The 14,104-nt window shown below is 51.7% G+C and overlaps 1 protein-coding gene across 4 annotated transcripts in view, besides 6 other annotated features; it reads right to left on the reverse strand.

Annotated features, from left to right (window-relative positions):
• ELF4 (E74 like ETS transcription factor 4) overlaps positions 1-14,104 on the reverse strand; it is a 47,904-nt gene that overhangs the window by 11,956 nt on the left and 21,844 nt on the right. For 3 of the 4 annotated variants that reach the window (NM_001440766.1, NM_001421.4, NM_001127197.2), the window contains exon 2: positions 5,346-5,629. In NM_001440766.1, coding sequence (NP_001427695.1) covers positions 5,346-5,420 — 75 coding nt within the window. In that variant the 5' untranslated portion in view covers positions 5,421-5,629. Of the gene's footprint in view, positions 1-5,345; positions 5,630-10,504; positions 11,024-14,104 lie in introns of those variants that run through there. The other variant, NM_001440765.1, reaches the window with a different exon arrangement.
• Positions 3,945-4,239: a silencer, noted in NCBI's record as "tiled region #15346; HepG2 Repressive non-DNase unmatched - State 12:CtcfO". NCBI's record gives its function as "represses a minimal TATA promoter and a strong SV40 promoter by Sharpr-MPRA in HepG2 cells {active_cell/tissue: HepG2}" and the evidence as "EXISTENCE:reporter gene assay evidence [ECO:0000049][PMID:27701403]".
• Positions 6,184-6,333: an enhancer, noted in NCBI's record as "active region_29933". NCBI's record gives its function as "activates an Ori minimal core promoter by ATAC-STARR-seq in GM12878 lymphoblastoid cells {active_cell/tissue: GM12878}" and the evidence as "EXISTENCE:reporter gene assay evidence [ECO:0000049][PMID:35858748]".
• Positions 6,484-6,713: an enhancer, noted in NCBI's record as "active region_29934". NCBI's record gives its function as "activates an Ori minimal core promoter by ATAC-STARR-seq in GM12878 lymphoblastoid cells {active_cell/tissue: GM12878}" and the evidence as "EXISTENCE:reporter gene assay evidence [ECO:0000049][PMID:35858748]".
• Positions 7,144-7,193: an enhancer, noted in NCBI's record as "active region_29935". NCBI's record gives its function as "activates an Ori minimal core promoter by ATAC-STARR-seq in GM12878 lymphoblastoid cells {active_cell/tissue: GM12878}" and the evidence as "EXISTENCE:reporter gene assay evidence [ECO:0000049][PMID:35858748]".
• Positions 8,914-9,173: an enhancer, noted in NCBI's record as "active region_29936". NCBI's record gives its function as "activates an Ori minimal core promoter by ATAC-STARR-seq in GM12878 lymphoblastoid cells {active_cell/tissue: GM12878}" and the evidence as "EXISTENCE:reporter gene assay evidence [ECO:0000049][PMID:35858748]".
• Positions 10,748-10,917: an enhancer, noted in NCBI's record as "active region_29937". NCBI's record gives its function as "activates an Ori minimal core promoter by ATAC-STARR-seq in GM12878 lymphoblastoid cells {active_cell/tissue: GM12878}" and the evidence as "EXISTENCE:reporter gene assay evidence [ECO:0000049][PMID:35858748]".

Here is a 14,104-nt window from a genome sequence, read left to right on the forward strand (position 1 = left end):
ATTCAACAGGGACATGGAGATACTGCTCATGCCAAGGGAGGGCCCAGGAGGAGGAAGAGCAGGCTGTGGACCAAGATAAGGGCTACAATGTCTGGATGTGGTGAGCTTGAGGTACCTTTGGGACATCTGAAATAGAGACGCCTATCAGGGAGTCAAAAATAAGTGTCTAACAGTTCAAAAGGGAGCTGGTGGTCGTTCAATCCCTTGGAGTAGATAAGAAAATTGAGATGAGAATTCAACCCCTAGAGAACAGAAGTGTTTTGAAATTAAGCAAAGCGAAATTAAAAAGCAGTATGACTGCATGTGTTTTTTTTAAAAAAACTCCATATAGAGGCTGCATGTGGTGGCTCATGCCTGTAATGCCAGCACTTTGGGAGGCTGAGGCAGGTGCATCGCTTGAGCCTAGGAGTTCACACACCAGCCTGGGCAACACAGCAAGACCCTATCTCTATTTAAAAAAAAATTAAAAAGAAAAAACCTCTATAAATAAATAAATATGCCAGGATGTTAATCATAGTTTTCTTTTCTTTTCTTTTTCTGAGACAGAGTCTGGCTCTGTCACCCAGGCTGGAGTGCAGTGGCACGATCTTGGCTTACTGCAACCTCCACCTCCCAGGTTCAAGCAATTCTACTGCCTCACCTTCCCGAGTAGCTGGGATTACCGGCGCCTGCCACCATACCTGGCTAATTTTTGTATTTTAGTAGAGATGGGGTTTCACCATGTAGGCCAGGCTGGTCTCGAACTCCTGACCTCAAGTGATCCACCCACCTTGGCCTCCCAAAGTGCTGAGATTACAGACGTAAGCCACTGTGCCTGGCCATAGTTTTATTTTCATTATGGAGTTTTGAATGATTTTTTTCCCCCTTTCTACTTTTTTGTATTTTCCAAATTTTCTTTCATGGGAATGTTAATTCTTTTTGTTGTTATTGTTTAGTCTCAAGATCTGTTTTGTGGATGATAATTCTTTTTTTTTCCCATGCAAAAAGAATGAGAATGATCCTCTCTGTGTAGTGTTCCTGAGGGATCCAGAGAAACAAAAATGGATAAAAGACCTTTGGATTTGGCCATGGTCAGTCACCCTGGCTAGATCAGTTTCAGAGCAGTGCTAGGGTCCCAGGCCAAGTTGCAATGGATCTCAGTGAGGACAGACTGAGGTAAGCAGTTGGGTATAGTGATTAAGGTCCCAGCATCTAGAGCTGTCCATGATGATATCCACTAGTCACGGGTGACTATTTAAATTTAGAGGTAAATAAAAACTTTGGAGAGCTTAAAAATTTATTTCTTCAATTGCACTAGCCACATTTCAAGTGCTCTATAGCCACGTGTGACTAGTGGCCCCATACTGGACAGCACAAACATAGAACATTTCCAGCATTCCAGAGAATTTTTTTTTTTTTTTTTGAGATGGAGTTTTGCTCTTCTTGCCCAGGCTGGAGTACAATGGCACAATCTCAGCTCACTGCAACCTTCACCTCCTGGGCTCAAGCAATTCTCCCGTCTCAGCCTCCTGAGTAGCTGGGATTACAGGCATAGGCCACCGCCGCTGGCTAATTTTTGTATTTTTAGTAGAGACAGGGTTTCACCATGTTGGCCAGGATGGTCTCAAATTCCTGACCTCGTGATCCGCCTGCGTTGGCCTCCCAAAGTGCTGGGATTACAGGCGTGAGCCACCGCACCTGGCCTCATTCCAGAGAATTCTGTTGGATTGTGCTGATCTAGAGCCAGAGTGCCTGGGCTTGAGACCAAACTCTGCTGCTCACTAGCATTGTGACCTTGGGCAAGTTACCTAACCTTTCTGTGGATCAGTTTCCCCATTTATAAAATGAGAGTGATCACATGATTGACCCCCTAGGATTGTTAAAACAGATCAATACACATAAAGCACTCAGAGCAGGGCCTGGCGTAGACTAAGCTCTCATTAAGTGTTAGGTATCAGAGGTTTCTAGGAGACTGGTAATGTTTTATTTCTTAATTTGGGTGGTGAGGGCCTGGGTGTTCATTTAATACATGTCTACATCTAAATATGATTTATGCACCCTTTTGCATGTATTATGTATTTCAAAATAAAAGTAGCTTCCTAAAAGGAGTGAAAGGGGCTGGGTGCGGTGCCTCACACCTGTTGTTTTTCTTTTTCTTTTCTTTTTTTTTTTTGGAGACAGAGTTTTGCCTCTTGTTGCCCAGGGTGGAGTGCAATGGCTCGATCTCGGCTCACTGCAACCTCCACTACCGGGTTCAAGTGATTCTCCTGCCTCAGCCTCCCGAGTAGCTGGGATTACAAGCATGTGCCACCACGCCCAGCTAATTTTGTATTTTTAGTAGAGACAGGTTTACTCCATGTTGGTCAGGCTGGTCTCGAACTGCTGAACTCAGGTGATCTGCCTGTCTCGGCCTCCCGAAGTGCTGGGATTACAGGTGTGAGCCACCAGCCTGACCGGCTCACACCTATTGTAATCCCAGCACTTCTTGGGAGGCGTGAGAGCAGAAGGATTGCTTGAGCTCAGGAGTCTGAGACCAACCTGGGCAACATTGTGAGACCCCCATCTCTACAAAAAATACAAAAATTAGGCCGGGCATGGTGGCTTACGCCTGTAATCCCAACACTTTGGGAGGCCAAGGCGGACAGATCACTTGAGGTCAGGAGTTTGAGACCAGCCTGACCAACATGGTGAAACCCCCTCTCTACTAAAAATACAAAATTAGCCAGGCATGGTGATGCACGCCTGTAATCCCAGCTACTTGGGAGGCTGAGGCAGGAGAATCGCTTAAACCCAGGAGATGGAGATTGCAGTGAGCCGAGATCGTGCCATTGCACTCTAGCCTGAGCAACAAGAGCAAAACTCTCTCTCTCTCTACACACACACACACACACACACACACACACACACACACACACACAATTAGCCAGGCGCAGTGGCATGTGCCTGTTGCCCCAGCTACTTGGGAGGCTGAAGTGGGAAGATCACCTGAGCCTGGGGAGGTCGAGGCTGCAGTGAGCCATGATTGTGCCACTGCACTCCATCCTGGGTGACAGAGTGAGACCCTGTCAAAAAAAGAAAGAAGGAAAGAAAAAAGAGTGAAAGGCAGGTAATAAAGTAAAAACAGAGTGTGGAGACTACCCTGGGGGGAAGAAAGGAACTAAAAAGGTATAAAAAGATGCAATTTTGAAGGTGGGGGCAGAAGGGAGGGAAGGTTTTCTTTTAGGGTTGGGACACCTGAAGATGTTCAAAGTTGAGGAAAGAAATCTGAGGTCTAAAAGATACAAGAGGCCAGGCGCGGTGGCTCACGTCTGTAATCCCAGCACTTTGGGAGGGCGAGGCGGGTGGATCACCTGCGGTCAGGAGTTCGAGACCAGCCTGCCCAACATGGTGAAACCCTGTATCTACTGAAAATACAAAAATTAGCTGGGCTTGGTGATGCGTGCCTATAATCTCAGCTACTCCAGAGGCTGAGGCACAAGAATCGCTTGAACCCAGGAGGCAGAGGTGGCAGCGAACCCAGATTGTGCTACTGTGCTGGAACCTGGGTGACAAGAGCGAAACTCCATCTCAAAAAATAAAAATAAAAAATAAAAGATACAAGAGAGAGGAAGTGATGGATGGTTTGAGGTCTTAAGGGATGCAGGAGAGAACAGATTAAGTACAGAGGTTGGGAGTCACCCTTGCAAGGAAAAGTAACATTTCTTTCTCCTGGGCCAGTGGGAAGGAAACAAGAACAGGAGATGTTACAGATAAAAAGAGAGAAGGGAGGGAAATTGAGGGCGTCCTGGGCTTTGAGCTTCTCTGTGGATTGGAGGAGAGGCTGTCCGCTGAGGGTGGAGGGATAGGTTGGAAGGTAAGAACTGCTTCTGTGAAAAACAGCCTCTATGAAGAAAAGAAACAGTTGCTGAGTGGACTAGAAACAAATGGAAAATGACAAGTAGCATTGAGAACTCATGTATGGTAGATTTTTCTTCCTTTCTCCTTGTCTGATGCCTTCCACGAGGCTAGGCACACCACATATGTTCAATAAAATTGAGCTGCTTTAAGGCAAGGAGGTAGACGGAAAGTTCAAAGTGCTCAAAGGCCACTAGGGGGCAGGCTTTGGTAGGCAGCTAGAGATTGGACAGTTTTCCATCCTCACAGGATTTAGAATAGAGAGCATCTGAGTTAGACTGGAATGCCCTTTGGAGATAATCCAGTTGGATCGCCTCTTGGTGAAGATGGGGAAACAGCAGTCAGATAGGATAGGGGTCCAGGCGTGGTGGCTCACGCCTGTAATCCTAGCAGTTTGGGATGCCAAGGTGGGTGGATCACTTGAGGCCAGGAGTTGGAGACCAGCCTGGCCAACATGGTGAAACCCGGTCTCTACTAATAATACACAAAAATTAGCCGGGGATGGTGGCAAGTGCCTATAATCCTAGCTACTTGGGAGGCTGAGGCAGGAGAATGGCTTGAACATGGGAGGCAGAGGTTGCAGTGAGCTGAGAACACGCCACTGGACTCCAGCCTGGGCGACAGAGTGAGACTTCGTTTCAAAAAAAAAAAAAAAAAAATAGGGTAAGGGACAGGACTTGCTCAGGTGACATTGTGGCCAAACTGGGATCGGAACCCAGGGCTCCTGACTCCTAATCTTCCATTCTTTCTACTGTGCCTGGATGCCTCTTCTCTCTCCATTTTATGGAAGAAGGAGAATGGAGGGTAGTGATGAGTCTGCCAGGACACCGTTCAATGGGTACATACATCTAAGTGCACAGAAAACGTGCCAGTGTAGGGAAGGTATGGAGCAGTGGGGACCTCAGTGAGCACCAGAATCCTGTCCTATTTTCCAACTTCCTCCCACCAAAAGACCTCATTTCCAGCTTGTCCTGAATCCTCAGGCTGGGGCCAAAAAGACGACTCTGAAAATGTCAGGGCCTGGACACCAGTCTACAGTTCAGCTGGCAGTGCTCATTCTTGCTATGTGGCTGTCCCCACAGCTTTCTCACTGTGACACTTTGAGAGAAGAGAAGTGGCCGAAAAATGCATCTGATGGTCAGTGTACCCCTTATGCGTTTGGTCCATGTTGCTGACTAACCAACAGCCCAGCTGATGTACTTAGCAGATGTTTGGCTGGCTCAATGATTGCATGTGGGCAACCAGCTCCCTAAATGACTGCCCGGTGACTCCAGACCAGCCTCATGAGTGACTGGCTGGCACGCAGGCTGGCTGGCAAGCAGGGCCAGTGCCCTGAGCATAGTAGGTGCTTGATGGATATTTGCTGATTGGCTAGCTGTGCAGCCAGCTGGCTCCCTGGCTGTCTGCCTGGCTGTCTGTGTCTATCTGATTGTCCACAGGGGCTAACTGTGCTCTGTTCTCTGGGGCCATACCTGGTGGATATCATCATCCATCCCGTTGCTTGCGAACTCAAAGATCAGGTCACTGGGCTGTAGGGTAATAGCCATGCTGTCTTTTCAGAGAGCTGACAACGGGATTATCAGAGCCCTCCAGAGCTGTGGGGCTTTCTTGATGAAGGGACAATACCCAGGTACTTTGGAGCCTAGAGCCTACCCCCTGAGCTGCAGTAAAATAGGGGGTGGAGAGAGCTGGAGTAGGTGGTGGCCTAAGCCAGGCTCAAGGCTGCATTCTGGGCTGGACCAACCACAGGAGCGACCTAGAGAGAAGGGAGAGATGGGGACAGTGAGTAAGTCACCTTCCTTGAGCTCTGTTGCCAGAACTGCCTATGAACCAGAGGGACCCTGCCATGCTAAGGCAGACTGCCAATAGAGGAGTGGCCGAAACGGGAGGATGATGAGAGAAGAAAAGCGACAGAGAAGAAAGAGGTCAGGGAAAGAAAGAAGGAGAGAGGAAGTCAACTGAATGGCCTCCAGTGGGAAGTGGCTGAGTGTTGGTGCCCGTCTGGGTCACCAGCATCGGCATCTCGCACTAGTCCCAAAGATATGCAGCCTCCCTCCCTGCCTCCTCCCCTTCCCCTGGAGAAACTGCCAGATGGAGGAACTTTGCGCTCTCTCCACCCTGAAGACTAATCCCCAGGGGGAGTCAGGGCGCCTGGCCTGGCCTCGTGGACGAGGCAGCAGCATGGAGAATCCCTGTAACTCCCTTGGCTTGGGGAAGAATCGTGTGAGGGGCTGAGTGGGGGCCTGTGGGTATCTGTATACCCACTCTGTAGTGCTCTTCTGACTCTGCCTGGCTCCAGGTGAAGTCAGCCTAATCTTACCTTGGGAGTGGGGGCCAGTTAGCTTTGAGGGGCCACATCTACAGAGGAAGAAGTGGGGGTGGTCACACCCATGCCTGCCTCGCTGTGGGGGTTGTATTGTGTGAGGACCAGCAGTGGCCTTACCCTGCTCTCAGGGATGGGACTCTCAGATGGAGCCAAGCCTCCAGAGAGCCTGGAGACTGGGGGACAGGTGGGCCACATACCCTGTTTTCGTCAGCACCCCCCTCTCACCACTACCGCCGCCACCCACCAGAGAGCGTGGCCTCTGTGCTGTGTGTGGGTTTGTGTTCTTGGTTTAGCTTTGCTTTCAGTTTCAAGAGTGAACTGTCACCCTGGGAACTGGTGAGGAGAGCCCCGACTGGAGGAGGGGCAGGCGGAACCTTCCCCATCCTCTGGGGCTGGCTCAGGCCCCTTTTCCAGGAAATCTTCTGTGTCTGCCGCAGCCCAAACACACCTCCTCTCGCCCCACGTGCCCTCAGCGCTCACGGTGTCACATGGCGTCCGGGCCTGCATTTGTTCCCCCTGTCGCCACTCCTCAGGGCTGTCAGTGCCCGGGCGCCTCATCTGCGTGTTGTGGGTGGTCACACCCAGGCCTGCCTCCCACAGCCCCAGCCCTCCCACCTCCCTCCTCGCCAGCCAGCTCTGCTCCTCCACCCCATCACTGGAGCTTCTCCACTTCCAGGCGCCACGTCTTTGGTCCCCTGGGCTCGGTTCTGAGTGTGTGGATGTGCGTGTGGGTGTGTCCATGCACCATAGCAGAAGCCACACACTGCACTCCACCTCCTTGACACTCCCTTGGCAGTGCCGGGGTGGGCAAACCTTATCCTGGCCCGGAAAGAAATGAGGAACTTCAGAGAGGGGCAAAGGGGAGGAAAGGGAGGGGGACCACGGTGACCTCCCTGATGACCGCTCTCCCCCACAGGAGACACCCAGGCCTCTCCTACTTCCTTTCCGTTAGCCCACAGGGCTGGCCGTGCCTTTGCCCCACCCCCACCCTCACCCTCACCCCCACACCTTTCCACCCACCCCAACAAAAAGTCGGGAGAAGTCGCTCAACTCAACCTCTCAGGTCTGAATTTCCCTTTGGACGAGTGAGAGGCTGAGTACTGGGAGGAGGCGCCTGGGAAACTGCAGCCCTTGCCCCAGGTTCACTCCTCCCACCACCACCCCACCCCCACCAGACCCTGCCTGCGACCCATTCTCCACTGGTCTGTGAAGCCTCCCAAGGCCATTTATGCTTGGAAGGTCTGTCCCCCCTGCCCCCCCAGCCTAAGCGCCCCAAGGCTTGCATTCCACAGCAGCTCCCGCCCTCCCACAGGCCTTCTGCCTGCCCCCAGGAAACATTCTCATACTAATCAAATTAAAGGTGATCACTTTCACCTAATCCCACTTTGTCTAAACATGAAACTCCTGTGTGTGTCCCTTCCCCCAAGGTCACTCGCTGTAGCCCTTCCCTTCGGGCTTGCTCATCTCTTCTTTCCAGATCAGGATTTCATGTTTGCGAGTTCACTGCTGGTGCTGTCTGCCTGGGCTACTTTTATGTACCTTCCTTACCTCCCCCATAAGACAGGGGCTTCCTTGAGGGCAGCAACAACTGTGTTGGACATTGATGAAACCTTAGCACCTTGCATCATGTATGGCATGTAACAGACACTCAATTTGTGTTTGTGGAATGAATGAAGGGATGAATGGGTGGATGGGTGGGTGGGTGGATGGCTGGATGGATGGCTGGATGGATGGATGGATGGATGGATGGATGGATGGATGGATAGATTGGTGGTATGGGTCAGTCAGCATCTGTGAGGTGTGTTTTCTGGGCAACGTTTATCTGTATACGGTGGATGCGGGTAGGTGTCACGTACTCTGCCTTACACGAGAATGAGCAAAATGTGCATACCTTCTGGGGTGACCTCTGTATGTTTTTGCATTGTCATTTACCCAGGTGCGCTATTTGCGTTGGTTGTGGGTGTGCAAGCGCACTGTAGGTATATGTGTGTGCAGGGTGTGTGCATGTGTCCCAAGCGTGGAGACGTGTGCACGAGAGCCTCTGTGTGTCAAAGGGCTGCCCTGGTCTGGCCAGCAAAGCCGCAAGCTCAGTTGTCAGTTCCTCCTCCGGGCCAGCCTCAGCTGCCTTCGTGAGAATGACAAACCTGAGCTAATGCTGGCTGGAAGTGGCTGTGCTGAAGATGGGGGTGGGGTTCTCAGGAAGAGAATGCCAGGCCCAGCTAGATATGTGGCCCATGGGTCCCGGGGATGAGACCCCCAAAGTCCATGTGCCAGGGAGCTGGTGGGGGAGGGAGGCAGCCAGGGCCCTGCACTGCATTGAATGGAATCCTTGGTCACCAATGCAGAGAGGTTTGAAATCAAAGAGAGACGATTCCCAGGGCATTCTTTTCTGTGTCCACATATTGAGGTAGCAAAATCCAGGACTTGGTGGGTGCAGGCTTTGCTGCCTCGGGATTGTGAGGTATTGTGAAGCTATACCCAGCACCCGAGGCTCATCCTGGTGATCGTCTACCCTGAGCCTGAAGCTAAGGTCTTGAAGGGGTGGAGGGGGAGGAAGTAGCTGTCCTACTCTTTTGGCCAAGGCTGAGAAACCATCCGCCCTAACCGTCCAGTCCAGAAAGTTTCCCCCTCCCCCTTGAGATGTTTGAGGATTTGAAAGTGAGAGGTGGAGAGAGGCTCATTTGCATGTTCACTCACTCTCCCCAGCAGAGGAGTGAACCCCCCCTTCAGTCCTTCAAAATAACCTCCTTCTCCCAGGAACCCGAAACCAAAGATGCCACCATCATAGGAGGTGCGCCCTGTGGGCCAGGGAGGCCCCCACCAGGGGCTCCCTTCTCCAGTGGGCCCTTTGGCTGGGACGCAGCTTCAGTAGCCTAGAGCCCTGGATGCTGCCTCCCCAGCAAGTAGACAAATCAGGGAGCACACACGGACACTTGGCTCGGGGAATTGAGGAGCCTGTGAACCCTTAGTAACTGGTGGTGAATTCCCCTACCCTGCCCCATGCTTGCACAGCTCACAGCTTGCTCCAGTCACAGTCCCCTCGCAGGGTGGCAAGAGCTCCACTCCCTTCACACCCTTTGAGGCCCTACAGGGTCTCTGACTCCCAGCGCCTGTCTTACTTGGGCCAAAAGCAAAGCCTTTGCGAGAAAGTATGTGCCCCTGGGTGCCCTCTGAGTGTATGGACCTTAAGAGGGAGTGTGCAGGCAAAGGCGCCGACCTCCTGGCCTGCAAATACACACCTCTGTGGCTCTGACTGCATTTCAAAACCGAAGCAAAATAGAAGTGGTTTGGGCTGCTCCTGTGTCACAACTCGGCCCCCTTTAGATGCACAGACCCTTCCTGGGGCTGTCACTGAAACATACCAAGCAGTGTCCAGCAACCACTCATCTGGGCCTCCCTTACAGGAAATAGCCCCAATGTGAAAGCCACGTCCACAGTCTCCGTGGAGTGAGTTTAAATCTACACCCTTTCAGCTGAGCCAATGGCTCTCACAGAATTGCTGGTAACACCCGTGGCATTTTCGCACATGCCAGGAAACATGGAGGCCAGATGGTCAGCTGGGCCACAAAGCACAATTCTCCTTCTCCGGTTCCTTGTCCCCTTGGAGCCAGCTCTCACTCCTGAAATACCTCATCCTCCATGAAACCTTTCTGGAATTCTCTGGAAAGGAAGTGACAATTTCCTTCATGCCATTTCCCACTCCCTCAACACCCCTCCCCCACAACCACAAGCAAAATGGAAACTACCCCAGGAACAGCTGTACCCTCGACTGAAAAACAGCCCGTCCTCAGGCGAATAGTCATCAAGCAGGGAACTGCCTGCTGTACCATGTGACCAGTGGCGTGGATTTAAGAGACAGAAGGCCAGAGTCAGGACTATATCCAGTCTGTAGTCCTGAACAGAGCAGAATTCACCCATCCACAGGACTTGAACCCCAAACCTCAGTCCAGTTATGGCTGGACTCCAATGAGTGAGCTAACCCTCCTACTTAAGCAAATGCCCAGTGAAGGGGCCCTAGTCACCGCTATTTTGTCAGCTCTTTCTCCTATTCCTTTCTTTCTACCAGCCACTCCATTTGAGATGAAACCAGGAAGAGGGAGGGAAAAAAGAAAGGTTTTGCAAGCTCTGTTGGTTGGGGTTTCTCTGTGCTTATTTACAAGAAACCCAGTTTCCTTCCTTGCTCCTCTGTCACCACCTGATTCCAGCATAGGGTTTCTCCCAACTCTGATGGTGAGGTGGGCCCAGGGTTCTTCCCCAGTTACAGCCCCCGCTCTCACACCCTGCTCAGCTCGCCTCTTCCCCTACCTTCTTTGCAGGCCTTGATCTGTCCCAGAGGAGGAGTGATTAGATGGCAGGTCCCAGGCAAAGAGATGCTTTTTCCTCTTTCTCCAGGGGACCCACAGCCCACCCACAGTGTAGACTGCCTAGGGCCGGGGAGGAGGAGGGAGGCGTTCTGGCTGCATCCTAGCAAGATGTGTGACCATGGAAAAGTCGGCCATCTTTCTGGGCTGTGGTTTCTGTCATCCTTCGAGCAGGTGAGGGTTGTGAGTAATCCAGGCTTAGCAGGTGCTCACCAGGGAGTCTCGGGTGAATAAAGATGGCAGTGGAAAAGCACTTTGAAAATTAAAAAGCGTTCATCCAGATGATGAGTTTCAGGTGACCTCCCAGAGAGCAACAGGGGCTGTGGGCCCCATTAAGCTCCAGACGGTGGACCCCACTGGCTCCAGAATACACAGGGTGGGGCTGGAGGGTTCCAGTTGTTGGGTGGCAAGGGGCTGACTCCTTGCCTGGGCTGGGGACCTGGCAGGGAGGGAGGAGCAGGCTGCTGCGGCTGGTGCAGCGCACTGGATCCCCTGTCCTCACCCCGCCCCAGCACTTTGGGTTGTGGTTATGTGGCAAGAAAGAGCACTACACTACAGAAGCCCCATAGGGGAGGAAGAGGAGGGGGAGGGTTAGTGACAAAGAGAACCTATTTCCCCAGCTGCTCTGAGAAGGCCAAAAGAGCACCCCCTGGAAGTGCCTGCGGCCACCACATCACCATCTCTAGTGCTTCATGCACGAAGCACAGGACAGTGGCACTAAGCCAATGACGGGAGAACCCACTGCAGGAAAAGGGAGAAACCCAAGTGTGGGGCAGCCACTAAACCCCAGTATAACGGTCTGCCAGCTCCAGCCTAGGAGAGCCCCCAGAAGCCCCTGCAGATCCTAAGATCATCGGCTTTCCAGCTAGAAGCCCCAGCTCTGCCTTGGGGTTGAGGCAGGTCACTTTCCTCTTTTGTAAAACAGGGATCTCCTATTTAGCTCAAGGGGTTGTTGCAAAAGGCCAATGAGCTAATGTAGGCAAAAGCTCTCTGTTAGCCCGAAACGTGTTTTTCTTTTTTTATTTTTTGAGACGGAGTCTCACTCTGTCACCCGGGCTGGAGTGCAGTGGCGCGATCTCGGCTCACTGCAACCTCCGCCTCCAGGGTGTGCCTCAGCCTCCTGAGTAGCTGGGATTATAGGTGTGTGCCACCACGCCCGGCTATTTTTTTTATTTTTAATAGAGATGGGGTTTCACCATGTTAGCCAGGCTGGTCTTGAAATCCTGACCTCAAGTGATCCACCCGCCTCAGCCTCCCGAAGTGCTGGGATTACAGGCGTGAGCCACCGCGCCTGGCCAGTGTGTTTTCCAATTCCCTGGTCTGATTCGTTACTCTGGGGCTGTGGTAGTTCATTAAACATTTAGCATGTCTTTACCTAGATATAGAGGAAGAAAGGGAAATGGAGGTGGCGGGATGAAATGAAGGCTGAGGGGACAAAAGCAACAAATATAAAATGTATGGTAGAGAGAAGAAACCAGTTTGATTAGAGGGAGAGAGGAACATTGCTTGGGAAGCTGGATAAGTGGATCCCTGGAACTGTGGAATGAGAACTTAATATGGAAAGCGACTGTGAGTTACTGTAGATTCTTGAGCAAGGGAGGGGCATAACAAGCAGCCCTTTAGGAAGGGCAGTTTGGTCTGGGTATAAGAGTGGGTCTGAGGCAGGAGAATCACTTGAACTCAGGAGGCGGAGGTTGCAGTGAGCTGAGATCGCGCCACTGCACTCCAGCCTGGGCGACAAGAGTGAACACTCCATCTCAAAAAAATAAATAAATAAATAAAATAAGAGTGGGTCTGTGAGTGGAGGAGATGGAGGGAGACCAGGTAGGGTAGCTGGAACCAGGAGGTGAATCCCAGAGCCACCCCAAAGTAAAGAAATTGATGGACTATGGGGAGATACAGTAGCTGTAGAGACCCCAAGATGTGCAGGGTGTTCTCGCTAAGAATGTTAAAAGATATTGCCGGGTGCGGTGGCTCATGCCTATAATCCCAGCACTTTGGGAGGCCAAGGAGGGTGGATCACCTGAGGTCAAGAGTTTGAGATCAGCCTGGCCAACACAGCAAAAGCCCGTCTCTACTATAAATACAAAAATTAGCCGGAGTGTGGCGGCGTGCACCTGTAATCCCAGCTATTCGGGAGACTGAGGCAAGAGAATCGCTTGAACCTGGGAGGGGGAGGTTGCAGTAAGCTGAGATCGCGCCACTGCACTCCAGCCTGGGTGACAGAGCGAGACTCCATCTCAAAAAAACAAACACTGACTAGAGACTAATTAAATTCATTAGTGGGTTTTTTAGAAGCTGGGATAATCTATGTTGGTACCCACAGGATATTAAGTCAGATAACTTTTATTGAAGGGACAGTGTTCTTTGTCAAGGTCCCTGCCAGCCCAGTGTGTGTCCTAGAAACTAACGTGAAGCCTCCTTGCTCAGATCTGGAACTTTCCTGGGCAGCAGGGGCCATGGTGTGGTTGCTGCCTGCTTGGCACTGGCTGCCCCTCCCAAATGCGCCCTTCTGCCACTGGCCAATCCCCAGGCCAGCAAAAGCAAAGGACAGTACTTCAGGCACAAGAGCAGTACTCCAGCATCCCTTTCACAGAAGGGAGGGGTGCCAGAAAGGATGAGGTGGGAAGACAGCCTACCAGGGCCTGGCCAGACAGGGAGGGCAGCCTCGGCTCCAGAAGTCATCGAGAGCTCCTGGGGTTCCTCCTTCTCTCTCACCGGCACGATTAAAACCTCTCCTCAAGTTAGAAGGCCAGGTGCGGTGGTACACACCTGTAATCCCAGCACTTTGGGAGGCCGAGGCAGGTGGATTGCTTGAGCTCAGGAGTTCGAGACCAGCCTGGGCAACATGGCAAAACCCTGTCTCTACTAAAAAAAAAAATACAAAAATTAGCCAGACGTGGTGGCACACGCCTGTAGTCCCAGCTACTCAGGAGGCTGAGGTGGGAGGATCGCTTGAGCCTGGGAGGTGGGGGCCCCAGTGAGCTGAGATCGCACCACTGCACTTCAGCCAGGGCAACAAGAGTGAGACCTCAGCTCAAAAAAAAAAAAAAAAAAAAAAAAAAAACACCTCTCCTTGAGTCAGAGTCCCAGGATATCAAAGTTATAAGAGACCTGAAAGATCATTGCATCCATCCCTCTTATCATCCAACTTCTGCTACCATAGGAGAGGAAGTGACTTGCTCAAGGTGACACAGCTAGTTGCACTGTGACTCCCAAGTGACTCTTCTTCCTTGCCTCCTTCCTTGCTCATTGTCTCCTGGCATCCTCAAAAAAGCAACCCTTTCCTCTGGCAAGAACACACAGCAGTCAAAGATTCAGGGCTGGCCAATAACAATGAAGCCACGGCTGGGCGTGGTGGCTCATGCTTGTTATCCCAGCACTCTGGGAGGCCAAGGCGGGCAGGTCACTTGAGGTCAGGAGTTCGAGATCAGCCTGGCCAACATGGTGAAACTCTGTCTCTACTAAAAAATACAAAAAAATTGTCTGGACGTGGTGACTCATGCCTGTAATCCCAGCACTTTGGGAGGCCGAGGCAAGCAGA

Source organism: Homo sapiens, chromosome X, assembly GCF_000001405.40.
Source record: "Homo sapiens chromosome X, GRCh38.p14 Primary Assembly".
Lineage (NCBI taxonomy): Eukaryota > Metazoa > Chordata > Mammalia > Primates > Hominidae > Homo > Homo sapiens.